This window comes from Homo sapiens, chromosome 22 (assembly GCF_000001405.40).
Source record: "Homo sapiens chromosome 22, GRCh38.p14 Primary Assembly".
NCBI lineage: Eukaryota > Metazoa > Chordata > Mammalia > Primates > Hominidae > Homo > Homo sapiens.
The window spans coordinates 38,586,852-38,609,865 of NC_000022.11; the positions used below are offsets into that span (position 1 = coordinate 38,586,852).

General features: G+C 44.2%; 1 protein-coding gene across 18 annotated transcripts in view, besides 1 other annotated feature; it reads right to left on the reverse strand.

The window, feature by feature from the left end:
- Positions 1 to 23,014, reverse strand: part of FAM227A (family with sequence similarity 227 member A) — a 78,275-nt gene that overhangs the window by 8,734 nt on the left and 46,527 nt on the right. For 13 of the 18 annotated variants that reach the window (NM_001384270.1, XM_047441459.1, XM_011530311.2 and 10 more), the window contains 5 exons: positions 20,538 to 20,625; positions 18,403 to 18,497; positions 12,913 to 13,070; positions 10,353 to 10,505; positions 4,510 to 4,689 (listed from right to left, as the gene is read on the reverse strand). In NM_001384270.1, coding sequence (NP_001371199.1) covers positions 4,510 to 4,689; positions 10,353 to 10,505; positions 12,913 to 13,070; positions 18,403 to 18,497; positions 20,538 to 20,625 — 674 coding nt within the window. Of the gene's footprint in view, positions 1 to 4,509; positions 4,690 to 10,352; positions 10,516 to 10,645; positions 10,765 to 12,889; positions 13,071 to 18,402; positions 18,498 to 20,537; positions 20,626 to 23,014 lie in introns of those variants that run through there. The other 5 variants (XR_937892.2, NM_001384271.1, NM_001013647.2 and 2 more) reach the window with 2 other exon arrangements.
- Positions 11,700 to 11,900: a silencer, noted in NCBI's record as "peak4493 fragment used in MPRA reporter construct". NCBI's record gives its function as "represses an SCP1 promoter by STARR-seq MPRAs in K562 erythroleukemia cells {active_cell/tissue: K562}" and the evidence as "EXISTENCE:reporter gene assay evidence [ECO:0000049][PMID:32103011]".

A 23,014-nucleotide genomic window follows, 5' to 3' on the forward strand; every position in this document is an offset into this window, starting at 1 on the left:
TTTTTTTTAGTAGAGACAGGGTTTCACTATGTTGACCAAGATAGTCTCAATCTCCTGACCTCGTGATCCGCCTGCCTTGGCCTCCCAAAGTGCTGAAATTACAGGCATGAGCCACTGTGCCTGGCCTACACTTCTTCTATTTAGGTTCACTGTCCGTATTTGGAAAGAACATGCTACAACTTGAAGGAGAGATCACAAGATATACTAAAAAATATTTTGAAATAAAAACAAAAACATAACACAATAAAACTTATGGAGTGCAGCAAAAGCAGTGCTAAGAGGGAAATTTATAGCCATAAATGCCTATGTTTTAAAAACAAGAAACATCTCAAATCAATAACTTCACTTTATGACTTATGGGCCTAGCAAAAGAAGCACAAACTAAATCTGAAGCTGGTAGAAGGAAGGAGATTAAGATTAGAGCAGAGGACGTGAAATAGAGAATAGAAAAAATAGAAAGTCAATTGAAAGAAACAAAATGTTAGTTATCAACAAAATTAACAAACTTTGAGTTTGAATGACTACCAAGAAAAGGACACACATAGATGAAAGTGAGAACATGATTACCGACCTTACAGAAATAAAGCTTGTAAGAGAATACAAATGCCAATAAATTATATAGCCTATATGAAATGGAAAACTAGAAATACACAAATTACCAAAACTGACTCAAGAAAAAAATAAAAATTCTGCATAGACTTATAACAAATAAAACGATTGAATCAATAATCAAAAATCTCCCTTTGAACAAAGAAAAGTGAAAGACTACAGGGCTTCATTTGTGAATTCTACCAAACCATTAAGGAAGAATTAACACCAATTCTTCTCAAGCTCTTCCAAAAAATAGAAGAGGTAACAGTATTTCATAGCTCATTTTATGGGGCCAGCATTATACTGATACCAGAACTAGACAAAGAAATGACAAGAAAAGAAATTATAGACCACTCTTCCTTAAGAATACAAATGCAGAGATCTTCAACAAATACTAAAATATTAAAAGGATTATACACTAGGAACAAGTGGGATTTATCCCAGGTAGTTCCCCTCAGTGAAACATAAATCGATCAGTGTATAGAGCACAATAAAAGAATGAAGGGAAAACCCTACATAATTATCTCAAATGATGCAGAGAAAGCATTTGACAAGAACCAACAGCATTTCATGATAATAAACAATCAGAAAAATAGGAATAGGATGGAATTACTCCAACATGATTATGGACATTTATGATAAACCCACAGATAACAGCACACTCAATGGTTAAAGACTGAAAGCCTTTCCCTAGGACCAGGGACAGGACAAAATGCCTCCTTTCATGGCTGGTATTCCACTTTGTATCAGAAGCTCTAGACAGATAATTAGGCAAGAAATGAAAGGCATCCAAATTGGAAATGAAGAAGTAAAACTATCTTTATTTACAGATAGCATGATTCTATACGTTGAAAATGCCAACACAGCAAGACCCTGTCTCTACAAAGAAATTTTAGCCAGGCGCGGTGGCTCATGCCTGTAATCCCAGGACTTTGGGGGGCCGAGGTGGGTGGATCACCTGAGGTCAGGAGTTCGAGACCAGCCTGGCCAACATGGTGAAACCCCATCTCTACTAAAAATGCAAAAATTAGCCGGGCGTGGTGGTGCACACCTGTAGTCCCAGCTACTCAGGAGGCTGAGGCAGGAGAATCATTTGAACCCGGGAAGTGGAGGTTGCAGTGAGCCGAGATTGCACCACTGCACTCCAGCCTGGGTAACAGAGTGACTCTGTCTAAAAAAAAAAAAAAAAAAAAAAAAATGCTGGGCGCAGTGGCTCACGCCTGTAATCCTAGAACTTTGGGAGGCCGAGACGGGTGGATCACGAGGTCAGGAGTTCGAGACCATCCTGGCTAACAGTGAAACCCCGTCTCTACTAAAAATACAAAAAAAAAAAAAAATAGCCAGGTGTGGTAGCAGGTGCCTGTAGTCCCAGCTACGTGGGAAGCTGAGGCAGGAGAATGGCATGAAGCTGGGAGGCGGAGGTTGCAGTGAGCCAAGATCGCGCCACTGCACTCCAGCCTGGGCGATAGAGCAAGACTCCATCTCAAAAAAAAAAAAAAAAGAAAAAAAGAAGAAGAAGAAAGCTGTTATAGGTTTTGGGGAATATGTTCCCCAAAAGACATGTTAAGGTTGTAAACCCCAGTACCCGTGAATAAGACCTTTTTTGGAAATAGTCTTTGCAGATGTAATCAAGTTCAATGAAGACATTAGGGTGGGCCTTTATCCAATATGACTGCTGTCTTTAGAAGAATAGATGCAGACAGACATGAAGAAGGCCAGGTGATGACAGAGGCAGAGATTGGAGTGAGGCCTCTACAAGCCAAGGACAGCCACGGACTGCTGGCAACCGCACGAAGCTAGGGAGAGGCAAAGGAAGACTACCCTGAACCCCGCACAGGAAGCATGGCCCTGCTGACACCTTGACTTTGGACTTCGGCCTCCAGAACTGTGAGAAAATACATTTACGTTGTTTGAAAAAGAAAAGAAATATATATACAGATGCCAAGAGGAGAATGAAGAAAGATAAGAAAATTAAAGGATCAGTCCAGCAGGTCTGACAATTGACTATCATAGTTCCAGAAATAGCAAAGAAAATGAAGGAAATTTTCTAAGAAATAATACAAGCAAAATTCTCAGAATTGAAGGACTCTACCCTCTGGACTGAGAGCACTCCCGACCTCAGTGACGCATATTAAGAAAAGGACTCATACCAAGGTATATCATTGTGAAACTTCAGGATACTAAGAATGAAGACAATATCCTAGAAGTTCCCACAGCTGGGAAGACAGTGACCCACAAAGCCATAGGAATCAGAATAGCGTGAGACTTCTCAACAGTAAAAGCAGCAGGCAGGAAAAATTCTCCAAAATTCTGTAGAATATTGACTTTTAACTTAGAATTTTATTTCCAGCAAAACATTTGCCAAATATCAATCAAGAACAAAGACATTTTTTCATGTCTGTAATCCCAGCACTTTGGGAGGCCAAGGCGAGAGGACTGCTTCAGCTCGGGAGTTCGAGACCAGCCTGGGCAACACAGCAAGATCTCATCTCTTAAATAATTATTTTAAAAATAGAACAAAGGGCCGGGAATGGTGGCTCACACCTGTAATCCCAGGGCTTTGGGAGGCTGAGGCGGGCGGATCACCTGAGGTCAAGAGTTTGAGACTAGCCTGGCCAACATGGTGAAACCTCATCTCTGCTACACAAAACAAAACAAAACAAAACAAAACAAAAAAACGAAAAAAATTAGCTGGGCATGGTGGCACGCGCCTGTAGTCCCAGCTACTCAGGGAGGCTGAGGCAGGAGAACTGCTTAGACCCAGGAGGAGGAAGTTGCAGTGAGCCAAGATTGTGCCACTGCACTCCAGCCTGGGTGACAGAAGGAGACTCCATCTCAAAAAAAAAAAAAAAAAAAAAAAGATGTTTTGGATATGCAAAGACTCAAATAATTTCCCATATACCTTCGTTTTGGGAACTGCTAGAAGATGTGCTCCAGCAAAGTGGACATGGCTTTTTAGGTCAGGACTATAAGGAGACAGACTTGGGCTGTCCATGGCCCTGAGGCAGAGGCAGCTTGAAAAAGAAGTCAGCCCACAGAAGGGAAGAGGATCAAGAGACAGACAGAGAAAGAGCCTGAAAATATCAAGCTGTCAGGTCTAATATGCCTGCAGATGGCCTATCATGACCTTCCCAGTTATTTAAGCTGCTACATTCTCCTTCCATTTAAGCTAGTTTGAGCTGGCTTCCTGGCACATGCAACCAAGGAGCTCTGTCTCATACAGTTCATGAAGTACATAGGCCAACACTTGGTACAGAGGAAGTACAAAATCATTAGTAGCCCTTACTACTACCAATAATAACACTAAAACTAAAATGAGAGTGGTGTGAGTAATACATAAAAGTAAGTGAACTTTTTTTTTGAGACGGAGTCTCATTCTGTCTCCAGGATGGAGTGTAGTGGCGTGATCTCGGCTCACTGCAACCTCCAGCTCCCGGGTTCAAGCGATTCTCCTGCCTCAGCCTCCCGAGTAGCTGGGATTACAGGCACGTACTGCCATGCCCAGCTAATTTTTGTATTTTTAGTAGAGATGGGGTTTCACCATGTTGGCCAGGATGGTCTCGATCTCCTGACCTCATGATCCGCCCACCTCGGCCTCCCAAAGTAGTGGGATTACAGACGTGAGCCACAGTGCCTGGCCATAAGTGAACTTTTATATGCTCTTTCCTGTGTTTTAAGAATTTTCCAGCCTGGGCAACATAGTGATACCCCCAACTCTACAAAAATAAAAAATGAGCTGGGCATGGTGGCACACACCTGTGGTCCCAGCTACTCAGGAGGCTGAAGTGGGAGGATTGCTTGAGCCCAGGAGGTGGAGGCTGCAGTGAGCTATGATGGCACCACTGCACTCAGCCTTGAGGAGAGAGTGAGACTCTGTCTCAGTAAAATAAAATAAAATAAAATAATTATTATTCTTACATGTTCACACTTCTACCTTTCCCATGGTTTTTGTTCGAACAACCCTTAAACTCAATTTCTCTTTGGAGACTTCCCTTAGTTTTCTTGTCAGGTGATTCCTCATTGACGGCTGAAGGTGGGATGAACATGTGGTTTGCCTTTTTTGTATCTGCTGCTTTTGGATCAATATTCTTCATTTCCCTGGGAGGAAAACACAGAGACATATGGAAAAAGGCTGGAGTGATTAACATGTCCTCAATGTTCTGTATGTCCTATAAACTGATAGATCCACGTGACCATTTACAAAACATGCATTGAAGTATAACATAGAAACTAGGAGTGCACAGATTCTAAGTGTGCAGCTCAAGAAATTTTCATATACTGAGCACGCCCATGTAACCAGCACTCGGATCGAGAAAGAGAACGCTGCCAGCTCCTTAGAAGCTGTCTCACATCCCTGCTCAGTCACTATCCTACTTCCTTAAGAGCAACCCTGCCCTGATGTCTAGTAGCACAGTTGTGTTTTAAGGCACCGCTTTTATCTGTAGACAAAACTTTGAGAATCACTTTATTAATATAAGGCATGATGAGCTTCTCAACAATATCTTTTTTTCTTTTTTTTTTTTTGAGATGGAGTCTTGCTCTGTCGCCCAGGCTGGAGTGCAGTGACATGATCTTGGCTCACTGCAACTTCCGCCTCCTGGGTTCAAGCGATTCTCCTGCCTCAGCCTCCCGAGTAGCTGGGATTACAGGTGCATGCCACCATGCCTAGCTAATTTTTTGTATTTTCAGTAGAGACGGGTTTCACAGTGTTAGCCAGGATGGTCTCGATTTCCTGACCTCATGATCCGCCCACCTCGGCCTCCCCAAGTGCTGGGATTACAGGCGTGAACCACTGCGCCCAGCAACAGTATCTTAAACAACAAAAAGTGATGTATTTAGCAATGCAACTGCTAACACACAGTTACAAACTTCCTCTTGACAAAAAAATCTTTACTACAATTCACCTAATGAGAATTTATTTATTAAACAAGAGTATCCTTTATTTCTGAAATATATAAGCTATAAACTTAATCCTGGATATTCTATATGAATTTAATGTTAATTTTAAACTAGTTCTGAACTTTAAAACGTTCTGGCCATGGAATGGAAGGGTTATTTGCAACTTCCAGAAGAAATGCATTTCTTTGGACTCATCTTCCTTTGAACTGGATGAAATGTGGACGTGGTGGCTGGAACTTGAGCAGCCATTTCTTACCATGAAGTTAAATCATGGGCTGAAGCTAAATCATGGGCTGAAGCTAGTGGAACAATATGATAAAAGATCTTGAGACCCTGTCACTATGAACTTTCATATCTACTGGAGTCCTTGTAAATGAGAGAAAAGAAATTGTAATAAATTTTAGCCACTGTTTGAGTTTTTCTGTCACTCTAAGCCAAACCTAATTATAACTGATACAATTACCTACCTATGGGCCTAGTTCTGAGAAAAGTCTTTACAGACCTTAATTTATTTGATCAATACAACCCTACAAAGTAGGAAATACTATCAAATGACTGAAGTACAACAAAACGACTGAGGATCAGTGAGGTGTGTGCAAATAACCCTTCCATTTTTATTCCATGGCTAAAACTTAGCCCCATAGCCAGACCTGCCTGTGGCCTTAAAAAGGCAAAAATAGTTTAATAGTCCATGGTCACAGAACCAGTAAGTAAAAAGACCTGTATCCCAACCTTAGCCTCTGCCATTCCATGGATCCCGCCATCAAGGCTTGTTACGACTATTGGGAGAGACAGATATGAGAGCAATCATAATGCCTGGTGCCCAGAAGGTGCTGAAAATCTGTTGGGACAATGAACTACAGAATAAATAAAGCATAATGGACTGGGCGCAGTGGCTCACGCCTATAATCCCAGCACTTCGGGAGGCTGAGGCAGGCAGATTACAAGGTCAGGAGATCAAGACCATCCTGGCTAACACGGTGAAACCCCGTCTCTACTAAAAATACAAAAAAATTAGCCGGGCATGGTGGCGGACACCTGCAGTCCCAGCTACTTGGGAGGCTGAGGCAGGAGAACGGCATGAACCCAGGAGGCGGAGCTTGCAGTGAGCCGAGACTGCGCCTCTGCACTCCAGCCTGGGCGACAGAGCAAGACTCCGTCTCTAAAACAAAACAAAACAAAACAAAAAAAGAATAAATAAAGCATAATGAACAACAGTTACAGAGGCAGAAGCAAAGAGCCCCAAAGAGCAGTCCCTATGTCTTCTCCCTTCTCCATCCCGACCCTCTCCTCCCTCACTTACATGTTCAATCTCTCCCCCTTCACACAGGCTTGGGTCTTCTACCTTATGTTTATTTATTTATTTAGAGACAGGGTCTCACTCTGTCACCCAGACTGGAGTGCACTGGCATGCTCCCGGCTCACCGCAACTTCTGCCTCCCAGGCTCAAGCGATTCTCCTGCCTCAGCATCCCAAGTAGCTGGGATTACAGGTGTGCGCCACTACCACCCAGCTATTTTTTCTATTTTTAGTAGAGACGGGGTTTCACCATGTTGGCCCGGCTGGTCTCAAACTCCTGACCTCAAATGATCCACCCGCCTCGGCCTCCCAAAGTGCTGGGATTACAGGTGTGAGCTACTGTGACCAGCCTTCTACCTTATGTTTAAATAGCCCCTGTTACTTACCATCTGATCTTGCCTTTTTGATGCAGAATTTTATTCCTTCTGCTTCCTAGGAATCCCATCCATCCACAGGGACTTACATCTTCCCCTTCACGTCCCAGGCTCTGCCTTCCGACTTTAGCCTTGTTGAGACTGCCCTCTACCAAGTCGCCTACCTGTCTCTGCCCCACGTTTTGGAGTCTGGCCACTACATTGCTGCTTGCTGCTTCCCTACTGTCCTTTGTCCCCTTGGCTTTATGGTCAGTGTGTCTGCATATATGGACTCTCCTCCTTCCCTTCTGGTCACTCCTCCCCTTACAGAATATTCTGTCCTCCCTGACTTATGTGGTTGCCCTCCAAGATTGTCCTCAACCTCAGCTTCCACATCTGTAAAATGGGGATAAGTAAATAATTGTACCACTTTAAACACACTGTCTTATAACCTACACTTCGGTCCAATAATATGTTGTGACCATCTTTCCTTGTAAAACAAAAATAGAGGGAGGTTTTTCTTGGCTGCAGAGTATGGAGGTATGATAGTTTTATTTAACCAATCATCTTTTGATGAACATTAATGCTGAACTGCATTCCTGTGGTGTTGGTGGTGGTGATGTCTAATGGGGTTTTGTGAATGTGTGTGGTCTGTGTCCCATAGTATTTTATAAATAACTCAATTGTGGCCGGGTGCGGTGGCTCATGCCTGTAATCCCAGCACTTTGGGAGGCTGAGGCGAGCAGATCATGAGGTCAAGAGGTCAAGACCATCCTGGCCAACATGGTGAAACCCAGTCTCTACTAAAAATGCAAAATTAAAAGGCCAGGCATGGTGGCTAACGCCTGTAATCCCAGCACTTTGGGAGGCCGAGGGGGGTGGATCACGAGGTCAGGGGATCGAGACCATCCTGGCTAACACGGTGAAACCCTGTCTCTACTAAAAATACAAAAAATTAGCCAGGCGTGGTGGCATGTGCCTGTAATCCTAGATATTTGGGAGGCTGAGGCAGGAGAATCGCTTGAACCTGGGGGACGGAGGTTGCAGTGAGCCGAGATTGCACCACTGCAATGCAGCCTGGCGACAGAGCGAGACTCCATCTCAAAAAATATATAAAAATAAAAATAAAACCCAATTGTATTATATTGCATAACAAAGTATTTATCTACATATTCATATTTTTCTGTCCCTCTTATTATGGGAGACATGGATAGCTGTCTAGCCAATAGCAATTCCCTCTTTCTCGTTTGTAAACTGAATCCCATTTTGTTTTGGACAACAAAGTGCCCAGTTCTATGGAAGGTCCAGTCCAGTTGTGGAAATCTCGCCCTCCTTGGCCAGATATTTCCCATGCTTCCCTTGCAGACAGGGTGGCTCCATGAAAGAGTTATAGGGGCATGAAGGAAAGACATGAGAGAGACAAAGAAAGATAAAAGAAAGTGAGCTATTCTTTATGGAAAAATGCCAGCTAATAAATGTAGAAGGAATGGCAGAAGTAGAAAAATCACCATTTTGCAACCTTAAATGTAATAGTTAATCAGGCAAAGACCACTGATGAGTGCTAAAACCACTGTGTGAAAGATGTTGGGGAAGCACATTCACACAGTCTGGGAGAATCACATCATTTATTCCTGACTAATTAGAAAGACAAACATGTGCTCTTACAATGCAGAGATCTGGTAGATACCAGTTTAACCAAGTGTTTAAACTTAGCATCACCAGTAGCAGAGCAACCTGACATGATATGCCTCCTAATGGGATGCAACATAAATATACAACATCACCTGTGAAAGATTTTGGGCAAAATGATTTAACTTGAATCTAATCAAACCTCTAGCATAGACCTAATGTCCAGTGTACAGAAAACATAGGCTATATTGGAACAAATTCAATGCTACTTTGAGGAAATATCAGAAAAACCCAGAATGTGGCTTGAGCTTTTCAAAAAAGTCCATGTCATAAAAAAACAACTAATAAGGGGGGGGGGGCAGGATACTGTTATAGATTCAAAGACACCAAAGAGATAAAACTAAATACAATTTCTGGCTAGGCACGGTGGCTCACGCCTATAATCTCAACAGTTTGGGAGGCTGAGGCAGGGGCAGATCACCTGAGGTCAGGCGTTTGAGACCAACCAGGCAACATGGTGAATCCCCTTCTCTACTAAAAACACAAAAATTAGCCGGGCATGGTGGTGCACACCTATAGTCCCAGCTACTCGGGAGGCTGAGGCGGGAGGATTGCTTGAGCCCAGGAGGCAGAGGCTGCAGTGAGCCAAGATCACACCACTGCACTCCAGCCTAGGCAACAGAGTGAGACTCTGGCTCAAAAAACAAAAAACAAAATATAATTTGTGATTCTTGATTGGATCCTGGAGCAGCAGGTAAAGCCAAAGACACACTGAGTTAGGCACAGTGGCTCGTGTCTGTAATCCCAGCACTCCAGAGGAGGCTAAGGAAGGAGGATCACTTGAACCCAGGAGTTTGAGGCTGCAGCAGGCTGTAATTGAGCTGCTGCACTGCAGCCCGGGTGACTGAGTGGGACCCTGTCTCTAAAAATTAAAATACATTTTGGGGACAATTGGGGAAATCTGAATTTGGATTAGCTATTAGAGAGAGAAAGCAAATGGGGCAAAATGTGAATACTTGGCAAATGCCTGATGGACAGTTCAGTGTACTATCCTGATGGACAGTTCAGTGTACTATCCTGATGGACAGTTCAGTGTACTATCAACTTTCTGAAAGGTTTTTCTAAGTAAAATAAAATTTCTGAAAAAGGCAGAAGACAGAGGAAAATGTCCATAATATGCTGCTAGTGGGAAAAAATAGGTCTAAAAAACAGACCAACAGTATGACTCTACACTACTTTATTTAGTGATACGGATATATGGGCCCAGAAAAAAAAGACTGGAAGGATTTATAGGAAAATGTTGGCAATGTGTATCTCTTGGTACTTTTATGTGGTTTCCGGGTCCTTTGTTTGCTTTCATTGAACACATAATGTTTTTGTAGTTAGAAAAAAAAAATAACAACAAAAAAAGCTCTGGTCTCTGTTATTAGGAGTTTATAATCTGACCACAAGAAAGCTGATTATGCTTATGATGGTTACAGGAAACCCCCCTGCCCCACCAACCCATTTAAAAATGATGATGATCGTGTGCTGCAAAAGATAAGTGCGGAACAACGGCATTCCCCAAAGCCCCTTCCATACCTGGAGAAGTTGTCTTGCAGCTCCTTTAGATGCTTGTCAAAATAATTCCATTCAGTCCAATGATGCTGGTACAACTGATTGAGGTTGTCTTTCCGCTTCTTCATGCTGCACAGGGTCTCGCTGATGACATCAGTATACGTTGGGGTGCAGTCAGTGGCTTCCGCTGTCAAGGAAATCCCCGTACTGTGGAACTGTGTTGACGCTGCATTATTAGTGGCATGAGCGCAGTGCATGGGGAAGAGGGGCATGGAGGACAGAACAGGGAAAATGCCCTGCGTTTCTGGATAAGATACCTGAAATCTGAGCAAGAGATGACTCTCCTGCTCTTTGACCATGGCCTGCTTTGGAGGGAAGAGGCCATCCTATCCGTGGCCAGGCGTTCTCTACGTAGGAATAAAGTCCTTCTCTGCCCCTGTGGATGGAAGGCAGGGCTAAGAAATACTTTTTTAGACTGTCATCTGAAATTCTTATTCTATTATCACAGCGGTGAATAGGAAGGGCTCCCAGCTTTCCTTTTCTCTCAGCCCAAGGCCTCATTCTCCATCTCGTTTGTATATAAAAATATTCTTGGCCAGGCGCGGTGTAATCCCAGCACTTTGGGAGGCCAAGGCAGGCGGATCACGAGGTTAGGAGATTGAGACCATCCTGGCTAACACTGTGAAATCCCATCTGTACTAAAAATACAAAAAATTAGCTGGGCATGGTGGCACATGCCTGTAATCCCAGCTACTTGGGAGGCTGAGGCAGGAGAATCGCTTGAACCCAGGAGGCGGAAGTTGCGGTGAGCCGAAATCGCGCCACTGCACTCCAGCCTAGGCAACAGAGTGAGACTCTGTCTCAAAAAAAAAAAAAAAAAAGAAAATTCTCCCTCTGCTCTGCCCTCCTTCCACCCCTTCTTGATTGGTTAGAATCTCAGCTACACTCGCCACAAGCTGTGGGACCTCAGACAAGATAGCAGTCATCCTCTGTGCCTCCATTTCCATATCTGTAAAACAGAGATAATAATGCCCACTTTAGATGATGTTAATCATAATCCTGGTAGTTATTTATGTAGTATCAGCTGTATGCCATTTAATCCTCATCACAACACTGTAAGTTTGGTATAACTATCCAAATTTTAGGAATGAGTAGATAAAGATATTGAGCTTGGAGGTCGAGCTGTGCACATAAGATCTCAAAGCCAGTGGTTGCTAAACTGGGACTCAAATCTAGGGCTGCATATCCCAACCCAGGTTCCTTCCACTACACTAAACTGTCTTTAGAGAACAATGAAGTGATGTTTGGGAAAACATGTTGCAAGAAATAAAACACTATGAAATGTGAGTTGTTGTTATTACTCTCTCCCTATAGAACATGTAAATAAGTTTGCGGACATGCAGTTCTGTGCAGAAGACGCAAAGTCCTCCTAGTTCATTACGAAACTCCTCCTGTTGGGGAGCTCAATGTAGACGTGGATCATCCCAGCCCTTGTTATCTGCCAGGCACTAGCCTTTATCTCTGTTGTGTCTGTAATCTGCATAATAGCCCTATGAGGCAGGTACTCTTATCCCTATTTTACAGGTGAAAAAAATGAGGCACAGAGAGAAGCTGGAACTTATCTCAAATCACTCGGTTTGCAGTAGAGTTGGTTCCTGAGTCCAGGTGTGTTTGAACCAATAGACCAGTTTGATTCCAAATAGAACCCGTGTTCTCTGACTCCTATGGTAAGCTGCTAAGACTCAGGACACCAATATAGGCCACACTTGTTTTCTTTCTTTTTTTTTTTTTTTTGAGATGGAGTTTTACTCTTGCTGCCCAGGCTGCAGTGCAATGGCGTGATCTCGGGTCACTGCAACCTCCGCCTCCTGGGTTCAAGCGATTCTCCTGCCTCAGCCTCCCAAGTAGCTGCGATTATACAGGCACGCACCACCAGGCCCAGCTAATTTTTTTTGTATTTTTAGTAGAGACGGGGTTTCACCATGTTGGCCAGGCTGGTCTCAAACTCCTTACCTCAGATGATCCGCTCATCTCGGCTCTCACAGTGCTGGGATTACAGGCGTGAGCTACCACGCCTGGCCAACCACACCTGTTCTCTTGAGATCTGAGCTTTCTATTAGATCTTTAGGATAAATGGCAACAGGGCCAGGAATATGCTGATGGGTCTAAGGGAGGAATGTGTCTGAGGAGGGTGTTAGATGAAACATACATGTGGACAACAAAATTCCTGGTCAGTACATACTCTGGGGTCAACGAGTGTCTGGGAAGCACTATTTAGTTTCAATATATGTTAGAATACCAAGTTAGCACATTCATTCTGGTAGGTGGAAAACAGATTTTGCACACAAGGAAATTTGACACACCCTGGGGTCTCATGGCCAGTTCACGAGGCTGGCTCTAGATTTGGAACTAAGATGAGCACGATTCTGACCCTGAGGCTCGCACCACTGGCCACCTCTGGCGAGTACACATGGTGTGCCAGGCGCTGTGCTAAGGCCTGGGTGCCATTCCCTGACCTTTGCTTCTGGGAAGAGGACGCGGGGGCCTGGAGCAGTGCGCACCCTGCCCACAGTGACAAGGATATGGGGTGCTCGTGGTCTTTTCCCTTCTGACTATCAACACATTCTTGCCGTGCTGCTGCAGACTGGCATAGTTCTGGAGAAAGTACACAATCAGAGGGCTCTTCCCATAAATGTTGAAGAGGTTTGAAGTCAGCTCAGGGCTTTTGCAGGCAGCACACGACTAAGGATGAAAGAAAAAGGAAAAATAAAGGATATTGTCATTTTTACAGTCTGTATTAAGAACCAGAAAGGCATCAAAGCACTCATGTCCTTTGATCCAGTAATTCCAGTTTTAGGATGCACCCTAAGAAAATTACTCAAAATAAAGCAAAAAAAGGTCAAGGGGCAAAGATGTCCACTGCAGAGATGTTTACTATACATAGCAAAATATGAGAATAACTTAAATGTTCAAGAAGACATTGATCTCTTTACCCAAAGGAATGGTATGTCACTATTAAAATGTTTATGAAGAGTTGATAACCTAAAAAAGGTTTCAGGTATAATAGTAAATTTTTAAATACTGAGATGCAAAGTTTGATAGTGTTTTTTATATGTGTGTGTGTATGTGTATGTATGTATATATATATATATATAATTTTATTTTATTTTTGAGACTTGGGTCTCAATCTATCGCCCAGGCTGGAGTGCAGTGGCACAATCTCAGCTCACTGCAACCTCCATCTCCTAGATTCAAGCAATTCTCCTATCTCAGCCTCCCGAGTAGCTGGGATTACAGGGGCCCACCAGCCACCATGCCCAGCTAATTTTTGTATTTTTAGTAGAGACAGGGTTTCACCACGTTGGCCAGGCTGGTCTCAAACTCCTGACCTCAGGTAATCTGCCCGCCTTGGCCTCCCAAAGTGCTTGGATTATAGGCATGAGCCATCATGCCCAGCCGATAGTGTTATATATTTTATAGAAAATAATTTAGTAAAAGCCAGGTGCGGTAGCTCACACCTGTAATCCCAGCACTTTGGGAGGCCGAAGCAGATCGCAAGATCAAGAGATTGAGACCATCCTAGCCAACATGGTAAAACCCTGTCTCTACTAAAAATACAAAAATTAGCTGGGCTTGGTGGCATGCGCCTGTAGTCCCAGCTACTCAGGAGGCTGAGGCAGGAGAATCACTTGAATCTGGGAGGCGGAGGTTGCAGTGAGCCGAGATTGCACCATTGCGCTCCAGCCTGGCGACAGAGTGAGACTCCGTCTCAAAAAAAAAAAAAAAGAAAATTATTTAGTAAAAAACAGATAGATGAGAGACTGGAAGGCTCTTACCAAAACGTTAATAATTCATTCAGCAAATATGTATTGAGTGATTACTATGTATAAATACTATTTTAGGTGCTGGAGATTCAGCAGAGAACAAGACAAATTCCAGCCCTTATGGAGTTTACATTACAGTTGGAAGAAAACAATGAAAAAAATCAACAAATAAAGGAATAACATGATATGATGAATACTAATAAGATCAATCAGGCCAGGGTATGGAGAGTGGTAGGGAGGAGAGGACTGGGGTTCCATGGCGTGATCAGGGAAGGCTGTGAGGAGGTGAGACCCCAGGGATCCTGAATGCTGTGGGGAAGGGAGCCATGGGAAGGTCTATCAGGAGTTGTTCCTGGCTAAGAGGACAGCAGGTGCAACAGATCCAGCCACTGATATGTGCTTGGTGTGGCTGAGGGGCAGAAATGAGGTGGCTCACAGGGGTGGGGGCGGGTGCAGAGGGAGCAGGTGCTGTGGTCATGGTGAGGAGCTGGGATATTTTTCTAAGGGTCATGGAAGCCACTGGCAGATTCTGAGCTGGGGTACAATATAATCTGAGTAATCTGTTAAGGTCTCTTTGACTGATGGGAGGAGAAATGACTGTGAGGGTAAGAATGGGTGCAGAAGAGCAGTCAGGAGGCCCCTGCAGGAGTTGGGGAATTGCTGATGGGGCCCAGGACTTGGTGATTGCAGACAAGGGGTGAGAAGTGAGCAAATTTACAACATATGATAAAGGAGAACTGGCAAGATTTGCTGATGGACTCAACTCTACGTAGGTGTGAGAAAGAGAAGAGTCTAGGGCGGCTCAGAGGACTTGGGTGTCAGCTGCTCAGGTGGGACAATCTGGGGAGGAACAGGCTGGGGCGGTGGGAAAGTCAAGTCCCGTTTTGGATGCTATTTGAGATGCTAATAGACAGCCAGGAGGAAACAGATCAGAAAGAGAACAGGCTGGGGCCAAGAATGGTTTGTTTTCTTCTGCCTTTTTCCAAAAATGACAATACTGCTTTTGTGTTTAAAAAAAAATACATTTTATTTTGAAGAAGCAGTTATACCTTAATGGAACAAAAATTCCACTTCACAAATAAAGGCTGCAGCAGTACCCAATCACACTATTTTCTAATCCTGTTCTAATGGGATAGGGTTGCATTTAATTAATTGTCTAATGGGATTTCTTCTGTCTCCAGCAAGGTTTCTCAACTTCAGCACTACTGACATTTGGGGCTGGATATTTCTTTGTTGTGGGAGGCTCTCCTGTGCACTGTAGGATGCTGAGGAGCATCCCTGGCCTCCCCCAATGTCCCCCTGCCCCCAGTTCTAACAACTAGAAATGTCTTCAGAGCTGGCCAAATGTCTCCCAGAGGACAAAATTGCCCCAGTTGAGAACCACTATTCTAACAGCAAGATACCACTGGAATCACAGAAACCTGGAGTTAGCAGGGAATTTATAGATCATTTGGTCCAGTGATTCTGACATGCTGTCTCCTAATGGAGGCCATGCTGTGTCCAGTGGTCACCAGGGAAATGAGTGAAACAAGGAAAAATCTACACGACTCTAAGTAAATTGATTCACTTCAAAGACCTTTTTAAATTTTTTCATTTGTGATATTAATGACTTTCTTTTATAAAATGCTACTGACGACAGACAGCAGTCATTTTGTTTTAATGAATTTACTTAGTAAAAAAATAAATTTTTTTTCAAAGCCTACGAAAGTCCAGCATCTGGGATCCACTAATGCAGTGCAAGGTTTCTCTGAGGGTGATTCTTTGGCAACCCAGCGTCCTTCCCCTTTCCTAACAGCCCCTGACTCTGGTGTGTTTTTGAGGGGGAGATCTGGCCTCTACTGCATTTGGGCTTGAAGTTTTGCTTTTTGTTGTTGTTGTTGTTGTTTTTGAGATGGAGTCTCACTCTGTCGCCCAGGCTGGAGTGCAGTGACGCAATCTCTGCTCACTGCAACCTCCGCCTCCTGGGTTCAAGCAATTCTCCTGCCTCAGCCTCCCGAGTAGCTGGGATTACAGGCACCTGCCACCATGCCTGGATAATTTTTGTATTTTTAGTAGAGGTGGGGTTTCGCCATGTTGGCAAGGCTGGTCTCGAACTCCTGACCTTAGGTGATCTGCCCACCTCGACCTCCCAAAGTGTTTGGATTACAGGTGTGAGCCACCATACCCAGCCAACTAATATTAATTTTAAAATTATTTGCATTACTGTGGGCTGGGAGCAGTGGCTCACGCCTGTAATCCCTTTGGGAGGCCAAGGTGGGCTGATCATTTGAGGTTAGGAGTTTGAGACCCGCCTGACCAACACGGCAAAACCCCATCTCTACTAAAGATACAAAAATTAGCTGGGCGTGGTGGCACACACCTGTAATCCCAACTACTTGGGAGGCTGAGGCAGGAGAATAGCTTGAACCCAGGAGGTAGAAGTTGCAGTGAGCCAAGATCGCACCACTGCACTCCAGCCTGGGCAACAGAGTGAGACTCCGTCTCAAAAAAAAAAAAAAAAATTATTTGCATTCCTGTGGTATGGGCACCCCTCTCCTCATCTCTTTAAACTTCAGTAAAGTCTTCCATTCTTCCATATACACAAATACATGCACACAGAGGCCTTCTGTGAGTGGTTTTTGTAAAAATCAGAAGAGTTCCACATTCGGGCTGATGCAGTTAGTATGTGCATAGTGTATGCAGGACAGACAAGGAGCTTAGTGCCAGGAAAACATCAGGCCCCCAGAGGTCACAAACATATTTGAGAGGGTACTAGACTTCAAACAAATTAGATAACAAATGCTTAAGCCAATTTTTAGCTAAATTCCAAGGAATAGAGTGACCCCTGGTGATACTGGGGGGTTATGTGAGTAAAGATTTTATTGAGAATAGGTAATAATATAAAATATTGGGAAAAAATTGGGGAAGATGTTTTATATAATCTTAGAATGGTAAAATGCTTAGCAACAAATGAAATCTAAAAGCCATAAGAGACTACTAAATATGACTATAATAATTAAAAACTTCTAAGGTAAAACACCACGATTAAAGTCAAAAGATTAGCCCAGGGGTGGTGGCTCATGCCTGTAATCCCAGCACTTTGGGAGGCCGAAGGGGGCGGATCACCTGAGATCGCGAGTTCGAGACCAGCCTGGCCAACATGGTGAAACCCCGTCTCTATTAAAAATACAAAAATTAGCCGGGTGTGGTGGCACACGCCTGTAGTCCCAGCTACTGGGGAGGCTGAGACACGAGAATCACTTGAACCCAGGAGGTGGAGGTTACAGTGAGCTGAGACGGCACCACTGCACTCCAGCCTGGGTGACAGACTGAGACTGTCTCAAAAAAACAAAAACAAAAAAACAAGAAATCTACATTCCTTGTGGTACTTGGCCCAAATTCTATGGCCGACTCCCTTGCTAGCTGGTGCCTGGGGAAGCTCCCAAACCTCTCACCCTGTTCTGGTCCCACTACACAAGACTGAAGTTCCTATTGATATAAACTACCATCCACTGAGGTTTGTGGGGAAGGGGAGGAGGAGAGAATGATGCTAGTGACTTTCCTGTGCTGGGCACTGCACTAGAGGGAAAGCTCAGTGGTTGAGAGCTCAGGCTCAGAGCCAGGCAGATCTGCATGCAAATCTTGGTTTTATCACTTATTTGCTTTTTATTTTTTTATTTATTTTTTTTGAGACGGAGTCAGACTCTGTTGCCCAGGCTGGAGTGCAGTGGCGCGATCTTAGCTCACTGCAACATCCGCCTCCCAGGTTCAAGCGATTCTCCTGCCTCAGCCTCCCAAGTGGCTGGGATTATAGGCACGCCACCGTGCCCAGCTAATTTTTGTATTTTTTAGTAGAGACAGGGTTTCACCATGTTGGCCAGACTGGTCTCAAACTCCTGACCTCAAGTGATCCACCTGCGTCGGCCTCCCAAAGTGCTGGGATTACAGGCATGAACCACTGCATCCAGCCTTTATTTTTTTATTATTGTTATTCATTTTTTTACTTTTAGTATCACTTATTTGCTTTATGATATTTGACAAATTGGGTACCTGCTCCCAGCATCACTTTGCTCATTAATAAACTGGAGAATAACAATGGTAACTATCTCAGAGGACTGTGACAGTAGAAGAAAATGCACTGTTTGCATAAGGTTTGGCATAGTACCTGGCATATAGTAAATATTCATTAAATGTTAATTATCATTTTCTTACCACACCTCTCACCCCCTTTGGAATCACCTTTACTATTAAATTTCCAATCATGTGCTCACCTTTTTAGGAAACATATTCTCACATTCTCTTGCTTCTGATATCCTCTTGACTTCTTGCGTAGGTTTCTTCAAGACCAGGGTCTGACAATGATGCTCTGTCAATGTGACATTAGCAAGAAAATGACCATTAGGTTCAAGCAATTCTCGTGCCTCAGCCTCCTGAGTAGCTGGAATTACAGGTGTGTGCCACCGCACCCAGTTAAATTTTGTAGTTTTAGTAGAAACGGGGTTTCGCCATGTTGACCAAGCTGGTCTCAAACTCCTGGACTCAAGTGATCTGCCCACCTTGGCCTCCCACAGTGCTGAGATTACAGGCATGAGCCACTGTGCCCCGCTAAAGCAGTGTTTAGAGGGAAGTCTCTAGCCTTAAATAAATGCTCATATTAGAAAAGAAGGTCTCATTTCATTCAGTTCAAATATTTTCTAATTTCCCTTGGCAACTCCTCTTTGATACATGGGTCTTTGTGAATTGAATATATATGTAAGCTCTGGGGGACTTGCAAAGTTTCCTACAAATATTTACCTCTATTTAGAGCCCTGGCTAAACCTCTTGATCAGTGGTCCCCAAGCTTTTTCTTTAAAAGTTTTACTGGGACATAATTCGCATACTAACTTCTCTGAGCCTCCATTTCTCCCTCAAAAAAATAATAAAGTTTAAATAACAATAATGATGTGAAATTACCTAGGATGATACTTAACAGTTCATGTTCTGTGTTTTCTTATATTCCGTATTTGTCTATTTGCCATCCATTCATTACCAGGGCTAGACTAACAGACAAAATTGCTAACATACCTCTCCTACAATCCAGAGGCCACACTTTGAACCAACTCTTATATCTAACTCACACACCAAGCCAACTAGGGACAGCCCCTATGCCCCAGAGCCCATTGGAATTATCCAATCCAGCCAATTCTAAACTTTTATTTTTTTTTGAGACAGGGTCTCACTGTCACCCAGGCTTGAGTGCAGTGGCTCAATCATGACTCACTGTAGCCTCAACCTCCTGGACTCAAGTGATCCTCCCACCTCAACCTCCTGAGTAGCTCAGACTACAGATGTGCACCATGGTGTCCAGCTAATTTAAAAATTTTTTTTGTAAAGACAGGGTCTTGCTATGTTACTCAGGCTGGTCTTGAACTTCTGGGCTCAAGCAATCCTACTGCCTCAGCCTCCCAAAGTGTTGGGATTACACTGTAATGTACGCAACTAATCCTAAACTGGTTACCATGCCTTGCTTTGTCTTTCCTGCTGAGAAACTTCAAAAAAGAGTGTGGCCTGTCCCTTCCCCATGCTCCTTTCTGCCTCCTGGCCAGCACTGGTGCTTCCCGCTGTGGCCCTGCATGGTGTGCTGAGTTTAACATTACTCATGATTTCCAGGGCGAATTGCCAGGGGAATTGCAAGTAACATGAAACTTTTCTTTCAATGGCACTGACCTCTCTGTACTATCACAGTCACCAATATAAATTAAGACCTGGGTGCAAATTAGTTCCAACCTTAGTAATTACTGGTTTCTGGTGGGGGACAGGAGCAGTCATCATGTCTTAAATTTATTTTCTTCTGGTGTCAGTAACCTCTCTTCCCCACAGATAACAGCACTGTGCTGACCTCATCACCACAAAAGTGGAACTTAATCAGTGCTTAGGCTGGGCGAGGTGGCTCACGCCTGTCATCCCAGCACTTTGAGAGGCCGAGGCGGGAGGATCATGAGGTCAGGAGTTCGAGACCAGCCTGGCCAACATGGTGAAACCGCGTCTCTACTAAAAATACAAAAATTAGCCAGGCGTGGTAGCGCACGCCTGTAGTCCCAGCTACTTGGGAGGTTGAGGCAGGAGAATCGCTTGAACCTGGGAGGCGGAGGCTGCAGTGAGCTGAGATTGTGCCACTGCACTCCAGCCTGGGCGACAGAGTGAGACTTCATCTCAAAAAAAAAAAAAAAAAAAAAAATCAATGCTTATTGAACTGAAAAGACAACTACATCCTTTCATAAAATATTACTTGGTGCCAAGGCCCAGGCTGGAACCCCAAGTATAAAGTAGGTCAGCAAATTCTGTTCATACGAACCCAAGAAACCAGGGTTTTGGAGACAATAACTAAGCCAAAAGCCTACATTTCCCTTTTTGGTAGTCAATATACCTTTTGCAGTATTCTGCATTCGTAAGCTTTTTTCTGAGTTCTGCTTGGCCGAAGAGGTTTTTTCACTGGGTGAATTTGCACTAGAAGACTTCAGGAGACAAGAGAGAGAAAGAGAGGGAGAAAGCGAGAGAGAGAGAACAAAATAAAATTGGCAGTGAGAGAAATACAAAAAAGTAATACATGCAATTTCTTTGCTATTTCTTACTGTTCTCAGCAAAGGAACATGCAGAACGAGACCTTTCAGGTCCTCCCAGGAGCATGGCAGACAGCAGTGGCTGATGTGGAGAACACATGGGCTGGGGACCCAGGGCAACCAGGGTTCCAGTCCCAATTCTCTCACTCAACAGCCAGTGATCTGGGGCAAGTCATCAAACCTCTTTACCGCCTTGGTTTCCTTGTAGGATTAAGTCAGCAAATGCATGCAAATTACACGAGTGCTCAAGGTGAGTGCTTCAAAAACATTGCTGTCACCCTTTATGCAATCACCTTTTTCAGCAAATGTTTCACTGGGCAACTACTAATGTGTTTGCACTGGGCAAACACTGAAACTGAGCCCCTGGCTTGAGGAGCTTCCAGTCTAGCAGGGGAGATAACAGGAAATAGACAGTTATACTTAAGTGTGGAAAGCATCCCCGATTTGTTATAGAGAGGCAATAGAAGTTAGGATTATGTTTGAATGTGACAGAGACTCAAAATAACAGTGGCTCAAACTAGGTAGAAATTTCTCTCCCACCATCCTGGGCAACATAGTGAGACCTTTTCTCTACAAAAAAAAAAAAAAAAAAAAAAATTAGCCAAGCACGCTGGTGTGCACCTGTAGTCCCAGCTACTTGGGAGGCTGAGGTGGGAGGATTGCTTGAGCCTGGAAGGTTGAGGCTGCAGTGAGCCATGACTGTGCTGCTGTACTCTAGCCTGGGTGACAGAGCAAACCCTGTCTTTAAATAAGTAAATATAAATACATTTCTCTCCCACATAAAAGTCTGAAGGCGGGCAAGCCTGGGTTCATATGGTGTTTCTAAGCACTGGTGGTGCTAAGTCCTCAGGGATTCTTTTTTTTTTTGAGACGGAATCTTGCTCCGTTGCCTAGGCTGGAGTGCAATGGCACGATCTCGGCTCACTGCAACCTTTGCCTCCCGGGTTCAAGCAATTCTCTTACCTCAGCCTCCCGAGTAGCTAGGATTACAGGTGTCCGCCACCACGCCCAGCTAATTTTTGTTCTTTTATTAGAGATGGGGTTTCACCATGATGGTCAGGTTGGTCTCGAACTCTTGACCTCAAGTGATCCACCTGCCTCGGCCTCCCAAAGTGCTGGGATTACAGGCATGAGCCACCGTGCCAGGATAGATTCTGACTTCTTCCAGCACACGGTTCCAGCTTTCATAAGATAAAATAAGACCCTTGTTCCTTTTTTTTTTTTTTTTTTTTTGAGATGGAGTTTTGCTCGTTACTCAGGGTGGAGTACAATGGCGTGATCTTGGCTCACTGCAACCTCCACCTCCCGGGTTCAAGTGATACTCCTGCCTCAGCTCCCCGAGTAGCTGGGATTACAGGTGTGTGCCACCACACCCAGCTAATTTTGTATTTTTAGGAGACAAGGTTTCACCATGTTGGCCAGGCTGGTCTTGAACTCCCAACCTCAGGTGATCTGCCCAACTTGGCCTCTCAAAGAGCTGGGATTACAGGCATGAGCCACTGCACCCAGCCAAGATCCTTGTTCTTAGGGTCCAAGGAGGCATCTGGAGCTCCTGCCATCATATTCGCATTACAGGCAGCAGGAGGGAGGAAAGGACAAAGAGATAAAGCTGTTTTTTAAGGAAGGTTTCCAGAAACTGCCACACGACACATCCACTTACATCTCATTAACTGGATCTTAGTCACGTGGCCACACGTAGCGGTAGGGGAGGCTAGGAAATACAATCTTTATTTCAGCCAGGTACATGCCCAGCAAAAAATTGGAGGTTTTGTTTTCACAGGTGAAGGGGACAACAGATATTGGGAAACAACTCATAGTTGGCCGCAAGTGGTATGAGGAGAGTATCATGGGAAGCTAGAGCGAAGAACGCTGGATTCGTCTGGGCGAGAGCTGGAGGGCTTCCAAGGAGAGAAGACATTTGCATTCTGTCTTTTAGGATGAGTAGGAGGTTGGCAATGTTAAACAGATGGCCCACCAAGTGGCAGACAAGCAGTCCACCAGCCTCAACAACAACCGTTTGCTTTTATAGAAATGGGATATTTGAATGGGCAGGAGAAAGCCGAAAGGACTTCCCAGACATCGTGCAGCTGGCTGTCCAACAGCTACTGGTTTTTATAGTGTTGAGGTGGTTGCAGGGAAAACACTCCCAGGGCTCAATGAAGCATCAATGCTCATTCTTTTTCTTTTCTTTCTTTTTTTTTTTGTTTGAGGTGGAGTTTCACTCTTGTTGCCCAGGCTGGAGTGCAAGGGCGCGATCTCAGCTCACTGCAACCTCCGCTTCTCA